The sequence below is a fragment of the Homo sapiens genome, chromosome 6, assembly GCF_000001405.40.
Source record: "Homo sapiens chromosome 6, GRCh38.p14 Primary Assembly".
Classification (NCBI taxonomy): Eukaryota; Metazoa; Chordata; class Mammalia; order Primates; family Hominidae; genus Homo; species Homo sapiens.
The window spans coordinates 132,905,433-132,921,728 of NC_000006.12; the positions used below are offsets into that span (position 1 = coordinate 132,905,433).

A 16,296-nucleotide genomic window follows, 5' to 3' on the forward strand; every position below is an offset into this window, starting at 1 on the left:
GCCAAATACGTTGCTGATGTTGTGAGTTGTCTCTGTTGCTTTACGACCAATTTTGAACTCGAGTAAGAACATTGCTCGAATTTGCTTTTTGTCTAACAATATTTCCAAAGTCTAAAATAAATATAAAATAAACAGCAAGTAATTATTATTACTTTTTTATTAGTAATTTTTTTAGTAATAATATTTTTAGTAATTATTTATTAGTAATAATTTTTTTATTAGTTAAAAAATGAGAAATGTGCATCAAAATGATGTATAACATATCCACATTTATTTAAGAATGTATTCAAATGTCAAATGAAAAATTTCAACAATGCAAAGACCACAGTTACGTTTGCACCAACCTAATAGGAACATAAAATGAATGCAATAGAATCATGTGACATATATAATTGATTTGTGGGGATCATGTGGGATTTTAACTTCCTTTTAAAGTACTGCTTTTATGGAAAAATGCATTCTGAGTTTTAACAAATCAACTTCCAATTAAGTAACTGTGCTTATTCCAATGTTTAGCACAGAATCTAGCATGGGATAGCTGATCAATAAATATCCGTTGAAAAGATATGACTTTGGAAACACAACCCATTGGTGAACTGGTAACACTTGTCTGCAATCTAATCCTTCCCTCAAGGAACTTTCAGTGGAAAAGATGACATATGTCAAAAATGTTATTTGTTATCAACAGAAGAAAGTACACAATAAAATGGTAAATTAAATATCATCAAGAGCACCAAAAATTAAGTGTAGCCATTAAGATTAAGGGCAACCAGGGGAAAGATATAGCAACTATTGCCAGAGTGTGTATTGTTAGAAAGTTCAAATGAAAGTCGAATCCCCCCTCCCATAAAAGCAGCAATCAAACTATCATATTATTTTATAAAAATATAACTTAATAAACTGTGAAATTGAGAAGAATTCTGTGTAGTGTTTAGGTATATGTTTAAAAATATCAATGACAAATATATCCTAAATCAAGCTGGTATTGTTAACATGCAGATAAATATTTTTTTGGCCATCTCCTTGCAATATGTGTTAGAATTTCATCAGCCATAATTTTAAGAAAACTATTTCTTAGTTTGAGGAACCCAAGTAATGGACAATATGCTAGATGTAGCTTTAGTTCTTTATTGCAGAGCAAGGCCTGGTCATGTTGGAGTAGGCCATTGCCTTTAAGTAATGAATTGAACCTAGGAAGCCTCTTTTGCCTCAAAATTTATTTCCTGTTCTACTATCTCTCTGGGTGGAACTTTACTATTAGATATTTATTCCTTTGGGTCAGCATATGTATTCTTTTGAAAGGCTAGTTATTCTTCTCTTAATATAAAAAAAACCCTCAGATTCATTTTTCCTTTACAATGAAATCTGGTCATTCAGAGGATATATTAACATAAAATCAGCAATTAATACTTGCGGTGTACTGGACATTACATAAACATCTGGGTTACAAAGTGGCCTCCTTTTTAGAGGCCATAATTGAGTGGGAAGACACAGTTAAACACTGTGGGAAGTGTTATAGGCATAGCAATCCTTATTCACATACTAGGTAGGAAGGAGTGAGTATTTTGTGAGGATATGGAATTCTGGCATAGGAAAGATGGCAAAAAGAAGGCACTGAGTTTTGGTGGGAAGAAACTTCTAGTATAGGGCATAGAGAAAGATACGGCAAGTTGAAGAGGACATGGATCACATTTTAATTATTTCAAAATAATGTTTATAAGTAGGAGCTTTTATAAAATAATCTCTTAAATTGAGAAATTTGTGTAACATTTGTTTTAAATTTAGAATTGATTGTAGTCAATTAATAACCTTTGAGAACACAATGTGTAATACAAATGTTACAAGATACCTCTAAATATTGTGGTGATCTCACTCTTGTTCTCCTCCATCTCCCAAATACATAACAGATGAAGGTAAAGTGACAGACATGTACACAAATGATGGTAATAATTGTATGATTTCCAGTTACTCATGACTGACAAACTGTCACAACATTCTTTGCTTGTTTCCAAATACTCTTCTTCATGTCAGCAACAATTTCCTGTGCAAAATACCAGAGCAATTTCTCTTACGAATCAATCTCACAGTCATCACCCAGACATTATTTCTAAATAATTTTCAGTATTAACCCCTAAGTCCTGATGGCAAAAGTCCTCAAGCTATGTGATTGTGTGCTTTGATTTGTCAATAAATCCAGCTCCCAGCACCATCTTCAGCCATAGATCACATTTATGTGATAGTCAGCCTCTAGGAAATCACTATGCATGGCCTGAAGGCTGAAGGACTTGAGTGTCAAAGCACTTGCAAGATTCTCAGTGGTCTTTTAAAGTAGGAATCATGTTATCATGGGACCACATGGTTTCTTAACCTTGGTACTTATTGTACATTTTGAGCCAGATAATTTTACATTGAGGGGGGCTGCCTTTAACAGCATCCCTTTCCTCTAGCCACTAGATACCAAAGCACCTCCTGCCCTCAAGTTGTAACAATCATAAATGTCTCCAGACATCGAGAATAACCTCTGGAAAACAAAATTGTCCTGAGCTGAGAACCACTGGGCTACGCACCAATATCCACTCTTCAGTAATGTAATTGATACTGTTCGTAGGTCGATTTTATAGTGCTGTGTGGCGTGAAAAGGAAGCCTACACATGACTCAGTGAGAAAGAATGGACAGCCCAACAGATCAACACCCACGGCCAATGATACATCAGAACACACTTCATCACAGATGACAGGAGGAAAGTGAAGTGGGAGGTGAATGATGTGGTATGATTCAATAGATTTCTTTTTGTGTGTGACATTTACTTTTTCTTCTTTTAAAAGTAACACGTGTTCATTATATAGAAAAGGAACCAATATACAAGTATAAGAAGGAAAAAGAAAAATAGCCCTAATATCACCACCAAGAGATAATGGTTATTGCTGTAAATTATATTATTTTTTCTAGTAGTCGCTACTTCTCCATGTGATGTGTGGGGTCCTCCTTGTGAGGGGATTGTTCCTGCTGCTCCAGTAAAGTGAGTCTTGTCTATGGGACCTGCTTTGGCCAATGAGATGTGATGGAAATGATGGGCTGCTTCTGAGTGCAACCTTTAAAAGTCAGCACTTCGTTTCTCTTTAGCTTTTTTCTCTTGACCGTGCGAAGAACAAAGCACTGAAAAATGGCTGTTACTTTGTACAAATAAGTAGAACAAAGAAGACTCAAAACAGAGCTACAACTGACATGAAACTAGAGCAAGAATTAAACCTTTATTAGTGTAAATCACTATAAATCACTCCCAAATACATAACAGATGAGGGTATAACAGATGAAGGAATTCTGGGATTATTTGTCACTGCAGCATAACCCCATAAAAAACTTATAGTATATTTTATTCTAGTCTTTTATGTACATATGTGTATATATAAGAATAAGATATATATTATTTAATATAGTAACATTTCTATATAAATATATTTTTCTACTATTGAAATAATTTTCATGTTATAATCTTTGTGATTTATTTTTTCTCTTTATAATTTTCAACTATAATTCTTCATGTCTTTCAAAGATTTGTACACTATAACTCAGGAGGATGGTATGTAAGATACGTAGGAAGAGAGAATATATTGGCAAAATGATATCACCTTATATTTTAGGTACATACAGGCTTATCTGTAGTTTAGAAAGAAATAGAATGTGTCATACTTAGCTCCTGACTGATATTGCTTTGGTCACATTTCTCTGTGATGTTTCTCTGTCATTATTATTACTTCTAACAATTTCCCATATAGTACATGGGAACAGTGACAAATTGAGTTCTTTGGCAGCAGTTATAATTACCGTATATTTATGTGAACAAATGTGTTTGTTTTATCTTCATGATTCAGTATAAATTATTGAAACAGAAATGAGATTTTAGAAGCTGGGATGGCTGTTTGGGTGTCAAACAAGTTAAACTTGACAATAAGGCATGTGCTTTAAGTTTCCTTGGTTTGTCGCACTGTTTACTCTGGCGGCAGGGCTGTTCTTAAGTCAAGCTTTCTTGCTCTCCCCCATAAACTGTTACATGGTAGACTGATGTCAGCCAATCCTGAAGGAAATATCTGGAAACAGCACATTTATTTTCAATCTGATGCTGACCAGTCATGCCTCCAAGTGCCTCATTAGACTATGTGGAAAAGTTTTCAAAGACTTGGAGAATATCATCATGTGGGCCACCAAAATTTAAATATTTGATAGATAGACCATGATAATTTAAGTGTGGTTTTGCAAAGTAGGCTATTACGATGTATGTAGCTCAGGGCCTCAAGATGTTGATCAGTTTAACTGTATCCTAAAGAAATGACTTACCAGATGATAAGAAATATATTTTACTGAGTTTATCATGTTTTACGTTGGCTATTTTAGTTGATGGCCTTGATGTTTGAGTCTTGGCTAAGCACAAAAAGCACCTCTTTTTTGTGTAACAAATACAAATACAGAGGTGTGTGTATTTGTTATCTTTATTTGCTGTGTGACTGTGTCAGACAGCTTCTCAGTTAAATGGGAACTTAGACAAGAACAGTTCTTTGAAGGCTCAGATAATTTCTTGAACAAAATGAGAGCTTATTTGTTATTCAAGGTGTTAGATGGGTGTTCTGCTTGTTACTATGGAAGGAATAACTTTTTTGCTTATAGTTTCTAGGTGCTGCTGGGCTTAGTGGCTCACACCTGAAATCCCAGCAATTTGGGAGGCCGAGGTAGGCAAATAACCTGAGGTCGGGAGTTCGAGACCAGCTTGACCAACATGGAGAAATCCCATCTCTACTAAAAACACAAAAAATTAGCCGGGCATGGTGGTGCGTGCCTGTAATCCCAGCTACTTGCGAGGCTGAGGCAGGAGAATCTCTTGAACCTGACAGGCAGAGGTTGCGGAGAGCTGAGATCACGCCATTATACTCTAGCCTGGGCAACAAGAGTGAAATTCTGTCTCAAAAAAAAAAAGTATAGTTTCTAGGTTCTGCTATGTTCTTTAACATCACTCTAGTTGGGTGCTTCTGGTCATTTCTAGCCACAATTCTCCACGAAACTAAGTGTTTCAGTTCATTCATTTATTTGTTCAAAAAATGTTTGTGGACAATGTACTATTTTCTAGTTTCTGAGGTTACAGTAGGGTTTGATAAGAACTATAGAAATCCATGCCTTTGATAAGAACTATAAAAATCCATGCCTTTGAAAATAATAACACTTACATATGTTGTACATTGTGGCTTATTGAAATATTTAAGTTCACGATGTCATTTGATTCACAACCCTGTGATGTAGAGAAGACAGGATTGTCTGTATTTTATAACTTAGACAGCTGATTGTTATGTTTTTAAGTACAATTGTTTACTTATTATAAACTAGCGTCATGAATTGGAATTTTATCTATATGCTACTAACAAAGTTGACCTATACAATAGTGACCTCAGTGAAGTGGTGGATGGAAGAATCACTGGGTGAGGAGACAGGAAGGTGAGGGGGTAGAGACAATGACTATTTAGAGAACTCTTTTGAGGAAGTAGGGAATTGGGGGGAAGCTGAAGGAGGACCTGAAGCCCAGGGAGGTTTTTCTCAAGACATTTTGGAAGCACGTTTACATGGTGATAAGAATGAGCCAGTAATAATGAAAGAATTGATGATGCAGGAGAGAGGGAGGGGACAATTGCAAGAAAAAGTCTCTGAAAAAGCTCAAGAGGGGTGAGATTGGGGTATAAAATAGCCTTAAAAGAGAGAAGGAAGATTCAATTCAGTTTAATAGGAGGAAGACAAAGGATACAGATATGGATAGGTAGGCTGGTAAATTTGATGGAAAATGACATGGTTCTCATTTAATCAATTCTCTTTTCTCAGTGAAATAAGAGACACACTAGCTAAGAGTGGGGAGCACACAGATGGTGCTTAAGTTATAAGAGGAAAGGAAAAGATGTAAAACCATCATTGTATATCCAACTTTACATTTTTAATGTAGTAGGTTTTCTCTTCAAGTTTCTTTTTTTTGAGACAGAGTCTCACTCTGTTGCCCAGGCTGGAGTGCAGTGCCACGATCTTGGCTCACTGCAACCTCTGTCTCCCAGGTTCAAGTGATTCTCCTGGCTCAGCCTCCTGACTAGCTGGGATTACAGGCATGTGCCACCACACCTGGCTAATTTTTTATATTTTTAGTAGAGACAGGGTTTAATCATGTTGGCCAGGCTCATCTCGAACTCCTGACCTCAAATGATTGGCTTGCTTAGGCCTCCCAAAGTGCTGGGATTACCGGCGTGAGCCAATGTGCCCGGCCTCAAGTTTCTATATAAAAATAAAAACACTTACCCCTAGAAATGTACATAATTGTAAAAATCCTCACTATTGTCCTTATTGTTCCTTTACTTTGTATCAGCCCACGGATGTTTTTATGCCTTAATGTCAGGTCGTATATATTAGTTGAACATCCTGTCTTATGAAGTAAATTTATGTTTTGCCAGATGTAAAAAGTACTTAATATGTCATACTTTAAAATTACTTTTAAAGATTCTGCTAGTTTTGAGATTCAAAATATTTGTTGAGCTAATGGTGGTCATGTTTGTGCTTTGATGAACTCTGTAATGAAGTTTTATAATTTTGAGTGATAGTTCCTATAAAATTTCAGCGAAATTTTTATATTTCTAAAAATGACATCAAGGTACAGGTATTGTTTAGGTCACTTCTTCATATCATTTCTACATATCTTCCGACCATTTTTGTTTCAGACTACCTTTTCAAGGCTGTTGGCCATGCATGTTTGCAAACATCCCTGAAAGATAGAGATCCCTGTGGGATAGGTGGAAGATTTTCTTTCTGACTAGGATAATAAAGATAATAGCTCTCACTAGAAAAGGATAAGAAGACTTGTTAGCAGCCCTTATTAGATTAGGGTTTTCCTAAGTTTGGAATTCCTCGGTTACAACACAGACCAACTAACTCTGCGTAGCACTCACCTAGGTCTACCTGCATCACTCCCATGCCACTTGGGGGACAAGGTGGAACCAACGGGAGTGTGAAGCTCATGTTGCCTGCTGTGCTGTGAGTAACAGAGCCTTTTGCCTCTGACCCAGAAGTCTCATGTTTCTGACATTTACAGAACTGTGTCTAGCTAGCTAGTTAACTTACAAGTGGGGTCTAAACATCCCAGACCCTTTGCAGTTCCTGACATTTCAAAAGCTACATCAGCACAGTCACTTAATATCATGGAAAAATGTAAGGCACTCTTTACTTATTCTTTGGAGTTCTGCTTTTACCTCGAATCTTTTTCCTTTTCTTTTTTCTTCCTTCTTTATTTTGTTATTTTTAATTTTCAGGATTGAATTTAAACACCTAATTTTTTTATTCAACATTTAAGACACACATTTTGCTTTAAAGTCTTTCAGTAATAGTATTTAAATTGTTTCCTTGGCTTTTAAAAAGGACAACTTTTCTTAAATTTGTCTTTTCTAAAGGGTACTTATTTCAGAAAAATTTTCTTCTGGGTGGGAATAGTAATTGCTTCTGAGTCACAGCAAGCAACGGACTGAATTTTAAACTCTGGAGATCACATTCCAGCCGAGCAATTTCCCAAAGAAAAGAAATCTAAAGTAGTCCCCTAAATATTAAGCAAGTGACAGCAATGATAAGTAGGGGACTGCTTTGAACTGACGATGGAGAGTGGGCCCACTGTGGTTTACCAAATTTAGACTTGGTAAAATGAGACCTAGCACGGACAGGCATAGGAGAAACCAGGGTCAGTCAATGGGGGCAGCCAGGGAAGCCCCAGCTGGCCTCTTTCAAGAGATACAACCAGAGAGAGGGTCTTGGAAGTCATCAAGGAGTGAGACATGAGCAGCTTAAAATGCTCTGGAGATGGCAAGGGAAAATTACATCCTGTGCTTTCAGGGCTGCAGGATGTGGGTTGACAGAATCAAGCATGGAATTTTCCTACTCAGAATGAGGGGACAAGACTGGTGATCAAAGGCCAGAAATAAATAAACGTCCCAAAGCAGCTCAGACTCATGACGCATATGGCACAGTGAAATCCAATTGATTTCACCCAAGTGGTAAGAAAATTTAAGGAAACAATGAAGCGATGAAAGCATGCCTAATTCAGGAAAACCTGGTGGATCTTAGATGGCCCTCTTGAATTGCCTGTGTTAAAACTTCACTAAATATAATTAACTAAATAATTATTTAAGTATGCAAGCATTCTATATATTTAAGGAATTTAATGTTTTTTGTTTTTGTCTTTTTTTTTTTTTTTTTTTTTTTTGAGACAGAGTTTTTGCTTTGTTGCCCAGGTTGGAGTGCAGTGGAGCCATCTCGGCTCATTGAAACTTCCGCCTCCCAGATTCAAGTGATTCTCGTGCCTCATCTCCCGAGTAGCTGGGATTACAGGCGTGCACACCACACCACACCTGGCTAATTTTTGCATTTTTAGTAGAGACGGGGTTTAGCCATGTTGGCCAGGCTGGTTGTGAACTCCTGGCCTCAAGTAATCACCCCCCTCGGCCTCCCAAACTGCTGGGATTACAGGCACGTGCCACCTCACCTGGCTTAATGTACATTTAAGGGATTAAAGTTATAGATTACAAAAACACTCTTACTGTCAAGGCGTCCTAATTCAGAAATCATCACATTATATTTCTTCCTAAAGGTATTAGAGTAAAACAAAACTGTAGAAATGATGAGCTTTTATTAATTCTTTGAAATGAAATGTTAAATAACGCTATTCTATCACACGATTTCTACCTGTTTTTAAAAGCACATGGCCTTTGAGATCTATTTTGGATAATGCTAGATGCTTAACCTCTTTTTTTTTTGAGAGGGAGTCTCGCTCTGTCACCCAGGCTGGAGTGCAGTGGCGTGATCTCGGCTCACTGCAAGCTCCGCCTCCTGGGTTCACGCCATTCTCCTGCTTCAGCCTCCCGAGTAGCTGGGACTACAGGCGCCCGCCACCACGCCCAGCTAGTTTTTGTATTTTTAGTAGAGACGGGTTTTCACCGTGTTAGCCAGGATGGTCTCCATCTCCTGACCTCATGATCCACCCTCCTCGGCCCTCAAAGTGCTGGGATTACAGGCATGAGCCACCGAGCCCGGCCGATGCTTAACCTTTTTATTTGAGGAAATAGTCACAATGGATTATTGATATTTAAATGGCTTTTCTTAATGCTAATTGGAAAGAGTAACCATGAGAATCCTGCTTAAAATTTTACTTTATTTTATTGTTTTAGAGACAGGGTCTCATTCTATTGCCCAGGCTAGAGTGCAGTGGCACAATCATGGCTCACTGCAGTCTCGAATTCCTGGGCTCAAGGCATCCACCTTAGCCTCTGGGATAGCTAAGTGTGAACCACCTTGCCCAGCTAATTTTTACATTTTTTATAGAGATGGGATATTGCTATGTTGCCCAGACTGGTCTCAAATGCCTGGGTTCAAATGATTTTCCTGTCTCGGCCTCCCAAAGTGCTGGGATTTCAGGCATGAACCACCTCACCTGGTCCTGCTTAAGATTTTAATTCTCATGTTAACAGAATGTTGGCTACTCCACCAAAAAAGCTTGCTCTCCAGAAGAAAAGTAAACTAAATAAGTGGGTGAGTGGGAAGGTACGAAGTTGTATGGAATCTGCCTCATATGCCAGCTATTTATTTCCTCATTAAATGTTTAATGCAAGAGAGGTACTTATTACCTGTCCTTACAAAGCTTACTTTCTGGTTGGGGGAGACTGACAACCAACACATCAAATAATGTATCAAGTGGTGTTAAGTGCCATGGAGGAATACAGAGCAGGAGAAGGGGAGTAAAGAAGCCTGGGCATGGGGTGAGGACGTTGTCAGAGTCAGATATTTCAAAAACATGCTTCTGATAATAATGTCCCTTTGCTCAAATCCTTCAAAGCTATCTCATTACTTCAGCACTAAGACCACACTTCTAAACCTAATGTACCCCACTGTGCATAGTTTGACCCTTGACAAACTCTCTACCCTCAACTCCTTCCATGTGTGCAGACACACTCTTCATTTCTGCCATATTTAGTTCCACAGACCCCCAGGTTACATCATCCTTTCATGCATCTTCTTGTTTATTGACCTGTAAATACCTATCCTTTGCTCCCCAATTGTCCGATCTAATAAAGTTTCTTCTTATCATTTAAGACTCTGACCTAGCATCATCTTTTCTTAGAAGTGCTTTTAATCCATTTTATCTAGTACCATAGGTCAGTTTCAATTCCTCCTCTTTTCATGGCTCTGCAAATGGCTTCCCCCAAGTTATGCCACCTACTCAGAATTCCACAACACTGTTCTCTGTGCTTCTGTCTGTTCTAGCACCTTTCACATTGTGTTACTTATGTAAGAAAGTTTGGAATTAGGTTAGCATAAACAAATAAATATCATTTAATTTTAATAATTCTAACTGATTCTTCTGACTGCAGCGTGAATTGCTCAAGGACAGGGTTTGAGTATGTTTGCTTTTATACTCCCTACATGGACACCATCCTTGGTGCTTGGTATACATCTCACAAATGTTTGTTTAATCAATCCGTTTTGTATGTAAACATTCTAACTGAGCTTTAAATCTTTCCTGTTTTAGTGACAAGGATCTTCCGTAGTAATTTTCTACACAATAGTATTAAGATGTAGTCACATGAATAAATCCATGCCTAATTTTTTTTCTATTATAGATGCCATATCATATTCTGAGGACATAATGTCATCTAATGCTTACTGAATTCATACTAGGTGCCAAGCACTGTTCTCTGCACTTTAAATAAGTAACAACTTATTTACTCCTAATGACAACCCTGGAAATGGAATGGGTATTATCAGTTTCCTTATCTTGCTTGAGTACAAAATGGTTAAATAAATTGCTAAAAGTTAGTCATATAACTAGGTTTCAAACCCAAGCAGCCTAACTCTAATTCTATGCTTTCAACCACTATACGATGCTGTCTACTTTTTATTAAGCTTCAGAAAGTTAAATTATTCATTCCGTAACAGAGGGGAAAGGAGGAAGCTGAGAAATATTGGCATAGAATTTGAACTACTTAGAATTTTAAGGGTTGGTTGGTATGGTGTGGAAGGTGCAAAGTACCTTAGGAATCGTGCCAAAGCTTTGAACTTAAGCCTCTAGGTACAGTATATTAGACACATGATATTTTTGTCATCTGCTACCTTCAATAATAATTCATTTAATCCAGTGAAGGGTGGTAAACGCTTTGGAATACATACAAGATGCTGTGGTTGCCATGGGGTGAAGTAAGAAGATATAAAACAAATAATTAACTGTAGCCTGCAAATAGTTTTTCCACTGTGTACCTTCTATATGTTCTGCTGGTAAAATAACAACACCCATTCGAATAGCATGCTCACATGCATTGTTTCTTTGGATTCTTTCCACAACTCAGTAAGGTGTAATCAGTGCATTCATGATCCATGTCTTATAGATGCAAAGACTCAACTTGCCCAAAGTCATGAGTGGGGAAATGTGAAAATGAGTGAGGCATATGAATGAAATCATTTGTTCCTTTTCTCTGCCCTTTATCTTGCCTTTCATAATTATATTAGATAAGACAGTTTAATTGCAATTTATCCAATTGCAATTTATCTTAATCCTATTTATCTAATGTAAAACAATGTCAAAATTGGTCCAGTTTTTCATTAATGTTAAGAAAAGTGGGGCTGAGCAAGGTGGCTCACGCTTGTAATCCCAGTGCTTTGGGAGGCCGAGGCAGGTGGATGACTTGAGGTCTGGAGTTCGAGACTAGCCTGGCGAGCATGGTGAAACAATTAGTCAGGCATGGTGGCAGGTGCCTGTAATCCCAGCTACTTGGGAGGCTGAGACAGGAGAATCGCTTGAACCCAGGAAGTGGAGGTTGCAGTGAGCCAAGATTGCAGCACCTCATTCCAGCCTGGGAGACAGAGCTAGACTCCATCTCAAAAAAAATAAATAAATAATAAAAAAGTGATTGGTTGAGAAACCATTTCTGAAATGTTGTAATTGATGTACAGACCATCTCTACAGTCTCCTAATTTTGGGGAGATTTTAATTGCTGATCTTACCTTCCACTGTTACAACTCTTCTCTGTTCTATGAGCTTCCACCACCCACATTCCTATCTGGTGAGAGCCTAGAAGAACCAAATATAATGGTTCCCAGAAATCTGGGTGATGGTGTTAGTGATAGTGACCCATGTTTCTCCAACAATAACAATAACTTCATATCTGTTACCATGTTGGATTATTACCACAACCTCTTGAATTATGTGTGGTAGATATTAATGTCTCAGATTTATAGATGAAGAATTGGCACATAGGTAGGGTAAGTGATTCTGTGTTCTTTTGAAAGTTTTCTCATAGGTTTTACCATATATGTTTCTGTGAATTCAAGTCTACTGTGAAACGTACCTTTGCAAACCCACTCCTTCCCATTCTCCCCCATGTAAATAAATAGCACCTTCATCTAGCAGTTGCTTGAGTAAGAAACTTATGAGGTTTCCTTGAATTCTCTCTCTTCTTTCTCCCTACACCAAATCCATCAGCAAGTCCTGATTACTTTATTTCAAAAACGCAACCAGAATCTGTCCACTTCTTTTCATTGCAGGTATTTTTATCTATGTCATTTAGGACTAGCTCAGCCAGGACCTAGAACAGTATCTGGTATGTCATTAAGTCCTCAATAAATATTTGTAAAATGAATATTTCCACTATGATACTAGCAGTGATATTAAAAATATTTAGAAATATATATGGCAGGAACTTGGACCATCAGCAGGACTTCTGAAGTTCTTAAAGTTTCGTGCTCTGCCGGGTGCTAACACTTTGATCCCTGGGTCCTGAGGCAGTTTGGAAGTTCTGGGGGAAAGGATAAGATGGCTGAGACATCACTTAGGTATTACCTTTTCTCAAGTGTTAGGAGATACTTAATTTCTGTTAATGTGCTTATGAATTGAATGTCACAACAGAAAAAGGATTGTGTGTTCCTACATTTGGGAGATGAAGCCAACAATAGTTCACTAAATTTGAAGTATTTTTATAATTATGAACATATTAGGAAAGAAGCTAAAATACTTCTGTTATAATAAAGGCAAACTTTTACCCAAGCCAGGCAGTTTGGGAAATGCTGCTGAAAATGTATCCTCTCTCCAAGAAAAGTAACTTGAGTACTCATCTAATGACATTAAAAAAATTCCAACAGCCAATAATCACCTTGTAGCAATAGTATATAAGTGTGTATTTACCTGAGTAGTAACCAATTCTGATAAAGACTCCCTAGCCTACAAAAAAGATATTGATGTACAAAGACTAGGAATATAAATGCTTCATTAAAATAAAGAAGGAAACAGGAAGTCTGGTAAATTTTTGATACTATTTTAATTTTTAATCTATTTTATAAATTCTAAGTAGTGTCAGACAAGAGTGCATTATTGCTTCATAATTCAGTAGCTTTGTGATCTGTAGGCTGTTTACTACATCAGAAAAAAAAAGGATGGACAAGCAGAAAATCCTGTGAATCCTGAATTCTTATATTAATGTGAAAATATTACTACTCTGCTATTTGACTTGTCCTCGAATCCTTGGATTATTAATCAGTTTGAGAGGGTCCAGAGAGAGAGCCTTTCCTGTTGCAGATTTGCTTTGTCTGTTTCCGTCATCTGTATCAGATAGGAGTTAAGTTAGAAGTGAAACATGACATTCTGACAGTGAATCCAGCAGACAGATTCTTGGCTGCATTCTCTGCTACACTTGAACTTCTGCTAAGCATGTGATGAAAGAGTGTTTTCGACTGCACCAGCTGTGGAGAGGTTAATAAAACAAAAGAGGGGAAACAAAAGTGCTCACAGCAGAAAGCTTCTGGCTTTGCTGATTTTTCTGGTTACAAACAATATGTCAGAGAGCTGTAACTGCTGTGTTGGTTTGGGCTTTAAGCCATTTAAGACAAGTTGAGCTTCTGAATTAAAAGTTTAAAGAGAATAAATAAGCAGCACATCAGATGCAATGTTATGTATTTTGGTGCTGGAAATGGAAAGCTCTTACTTTGCCATAGACACTTGGAAATTAGGAAACTGGTGTGTATTTTGCTGGCATCCTTGATAGTTTCTCCCGTAAACAGAAACCTGCATAGGCTTTCAGATGTTTGAGATATGCAGAAGCAAAAGTGCTCTTGGCTTAGTGGACTGCAAGTAGTCTCTTATGCTCTCTCTCTCTCTTCCTGTGTCCAACTCCTCCAGCAAAGGACCATGGAATGTGGAACCTTGCCCAGCCTGCTGCTCAGGAGGCGATTGCTCAAGGCTGTCTTATGCAGAGGAGGTCAACAGTTGACCCATGAACCATTTAAACTGGAAGGAAGAATTAACCAATACCCTGAGAGATTGACTACAACTACTTTTTCCTGAAAGTTAGAGTGCAGAGTACAGGAGAGGAAGGCCATTTACTAATTTTCCTGCTTCCTTCACCAGTCCTCTACCTCTCCATACCTAAGGTCCTTCACTCAATATACTCAAGTCTTCTCTGCTATGTCTGCATTCCCACATGCCACGGCATATAAAAGGTAGGATAAGGAGTTCCATCACTTCACACAAGCATCTACCAGGAGGAGGAAAATAAAAACATTTTACCATCAACTTCGCCACTTGCTGTGAAACCGAAGGCTTGTTATATAAGCGTTTGGGGACATAATGAATGTGACTTACATATGTCATCTGGGAGACATGGTGTTTATATTTCTTGAGTTGAATTGGGGCAGAAAAATAATGGGCATCTAAAATGCTCAATAATTGAGAGAAACTTTAAAAGTTATTCCTCACCCTAGTTTGTCTAATATCTATCTTTATCATCTTATTTGTCAGTTCCTTGGGAAATTAAGAAATTTAGAAATTTCTACTGAAATAAAATGGATTGTTTTGGAGACTGTTTCTGAATAGTTGCAGAACTCCCCCAAAGTCCCAACACAAGTCTCATTCCTCGTTTCCTCCTGACCCCCAGTATTCTAGCTGATTCAAGTTCATGCCCACATCTTCTCTTCAGACGTGCAGTTCCTCAGAGAGTCTTCTTTGTGGCTCCTAGACTTATTATGTCAAGTACTGGAGCACCATGAACTTGCTAAGGAGCAAATGCACACGTGTTCTACACCAGAAGACAGTCAGATGCACTGATGTCTTGATTTATTGGGTTTGTAAATTTGGGTGTGATTAAGCACAGCACTGAGGAATCTGTCCTTTTAGACTGCGTTTACTGCAGGATAATGAATGTGATTTGATTTACACAAATGTGATCTGCGGAAAGGTTTGTTTAGGAGTACTCTAAGTCACAAACTGAGGTATATACTTCATATAAAGCATTAGTGAGGTCAAGGGAATAGTTGGGCAAAAGTGGGGAAGGTGTTGAGTTGGTTGGAACACTATGTGAGAAGCTAAGTTTCCCCAAATTTTGTTCAACATAAGCATACAATTATCAAATACCAATTTGATATCAAGACAATACTAATTTTTACTTCTTCTTTTCTCTCTGCCGCTAGCCTGTGAAGAAAAAACCAACACCTAGAATTTTTTCCATCCCTCACCTTTCCTTTGAGAACTCAACAACCCAAGCAACATGAACCTTTTCCCAAATACCATTTAGGAGAAGTCACTGGCAGTTTAAGAAACAGATTTTTTTAAAAAGTTCCAGGGTGAGACATCTTCCAACATAAACTTTAAATATCATTCTTAGCATCAAAGCAACAATATATTTAGTGTGAGTACTTATTTTTAATAAACTTGATTTTTTAGAGTTTATTTAAAAAATTTTTAGAATTTTATTTATTTTTGTGGTGTATATACTACATGTATGTATTTATGAGGTACTTAAGATGTTTTGATACAGGCATGCAATATGAAAAAAGCACATCATGGAGAATGGGGTATCCATCTCCTCAAGCATTTATCCTTTGAGTTACAAACAATCCAGTTAGGCTATTTATTTCAAAATGTATAATTAAGTTCTTAGTGAACTATAGTCACCCTATTGTGCTATCAAATTGTAGGTCTTATTCATCCTTTTTTTTTTTTTTTTTGAGATGGAGTCTTGCTCCATTGCCCAGGCTGGAGTGCAATGGCACGATCTTGGCTTACTGCAACCTCCTCCCTTGTTCAAGCGATTCTCCTGCCTCAGCCTCCAGAGAAGCTGGAATTATAGGTGTGCACCACCATCCCTGGCTAATTTTTGTATTTTTAGTAGAGACGAGGTTTCACCATGTTGGCAAGGCTGGTCTCGAACTCCTGACTTTAAGTGAGCCACCTGCCTCAGCCTCCCAAAGTGCTAGGA

At 37.7% G+C, this 16,296-nt stretch overlaps 1 long non-coding RNA gene across 2 annotated transcripts in view; it reads left to right on the forward strand.

Annotated features, from left to right (window-relative positions):
- LOC105378008 (uncharacterized) overlaps nt 1-16,296 on the forward strand; it is an 81,586-nt gene that overhangs the window by 28,833 nt on the left and 36,457 nt on the right. For both annotated transcript variants that reach the window (XR_001744346.1, XR_943001.2), the window contains exons 3-4: nt 14,223-14,542; nt 15,509-15,726. This is a non-coding gene — a long non-coding RNA (uncharacterized LOC105378008). The remainder of the gene's footprint in view (nt 1-14,222; nt 14,543-15,508; nt 15,727-16,296) is intronic.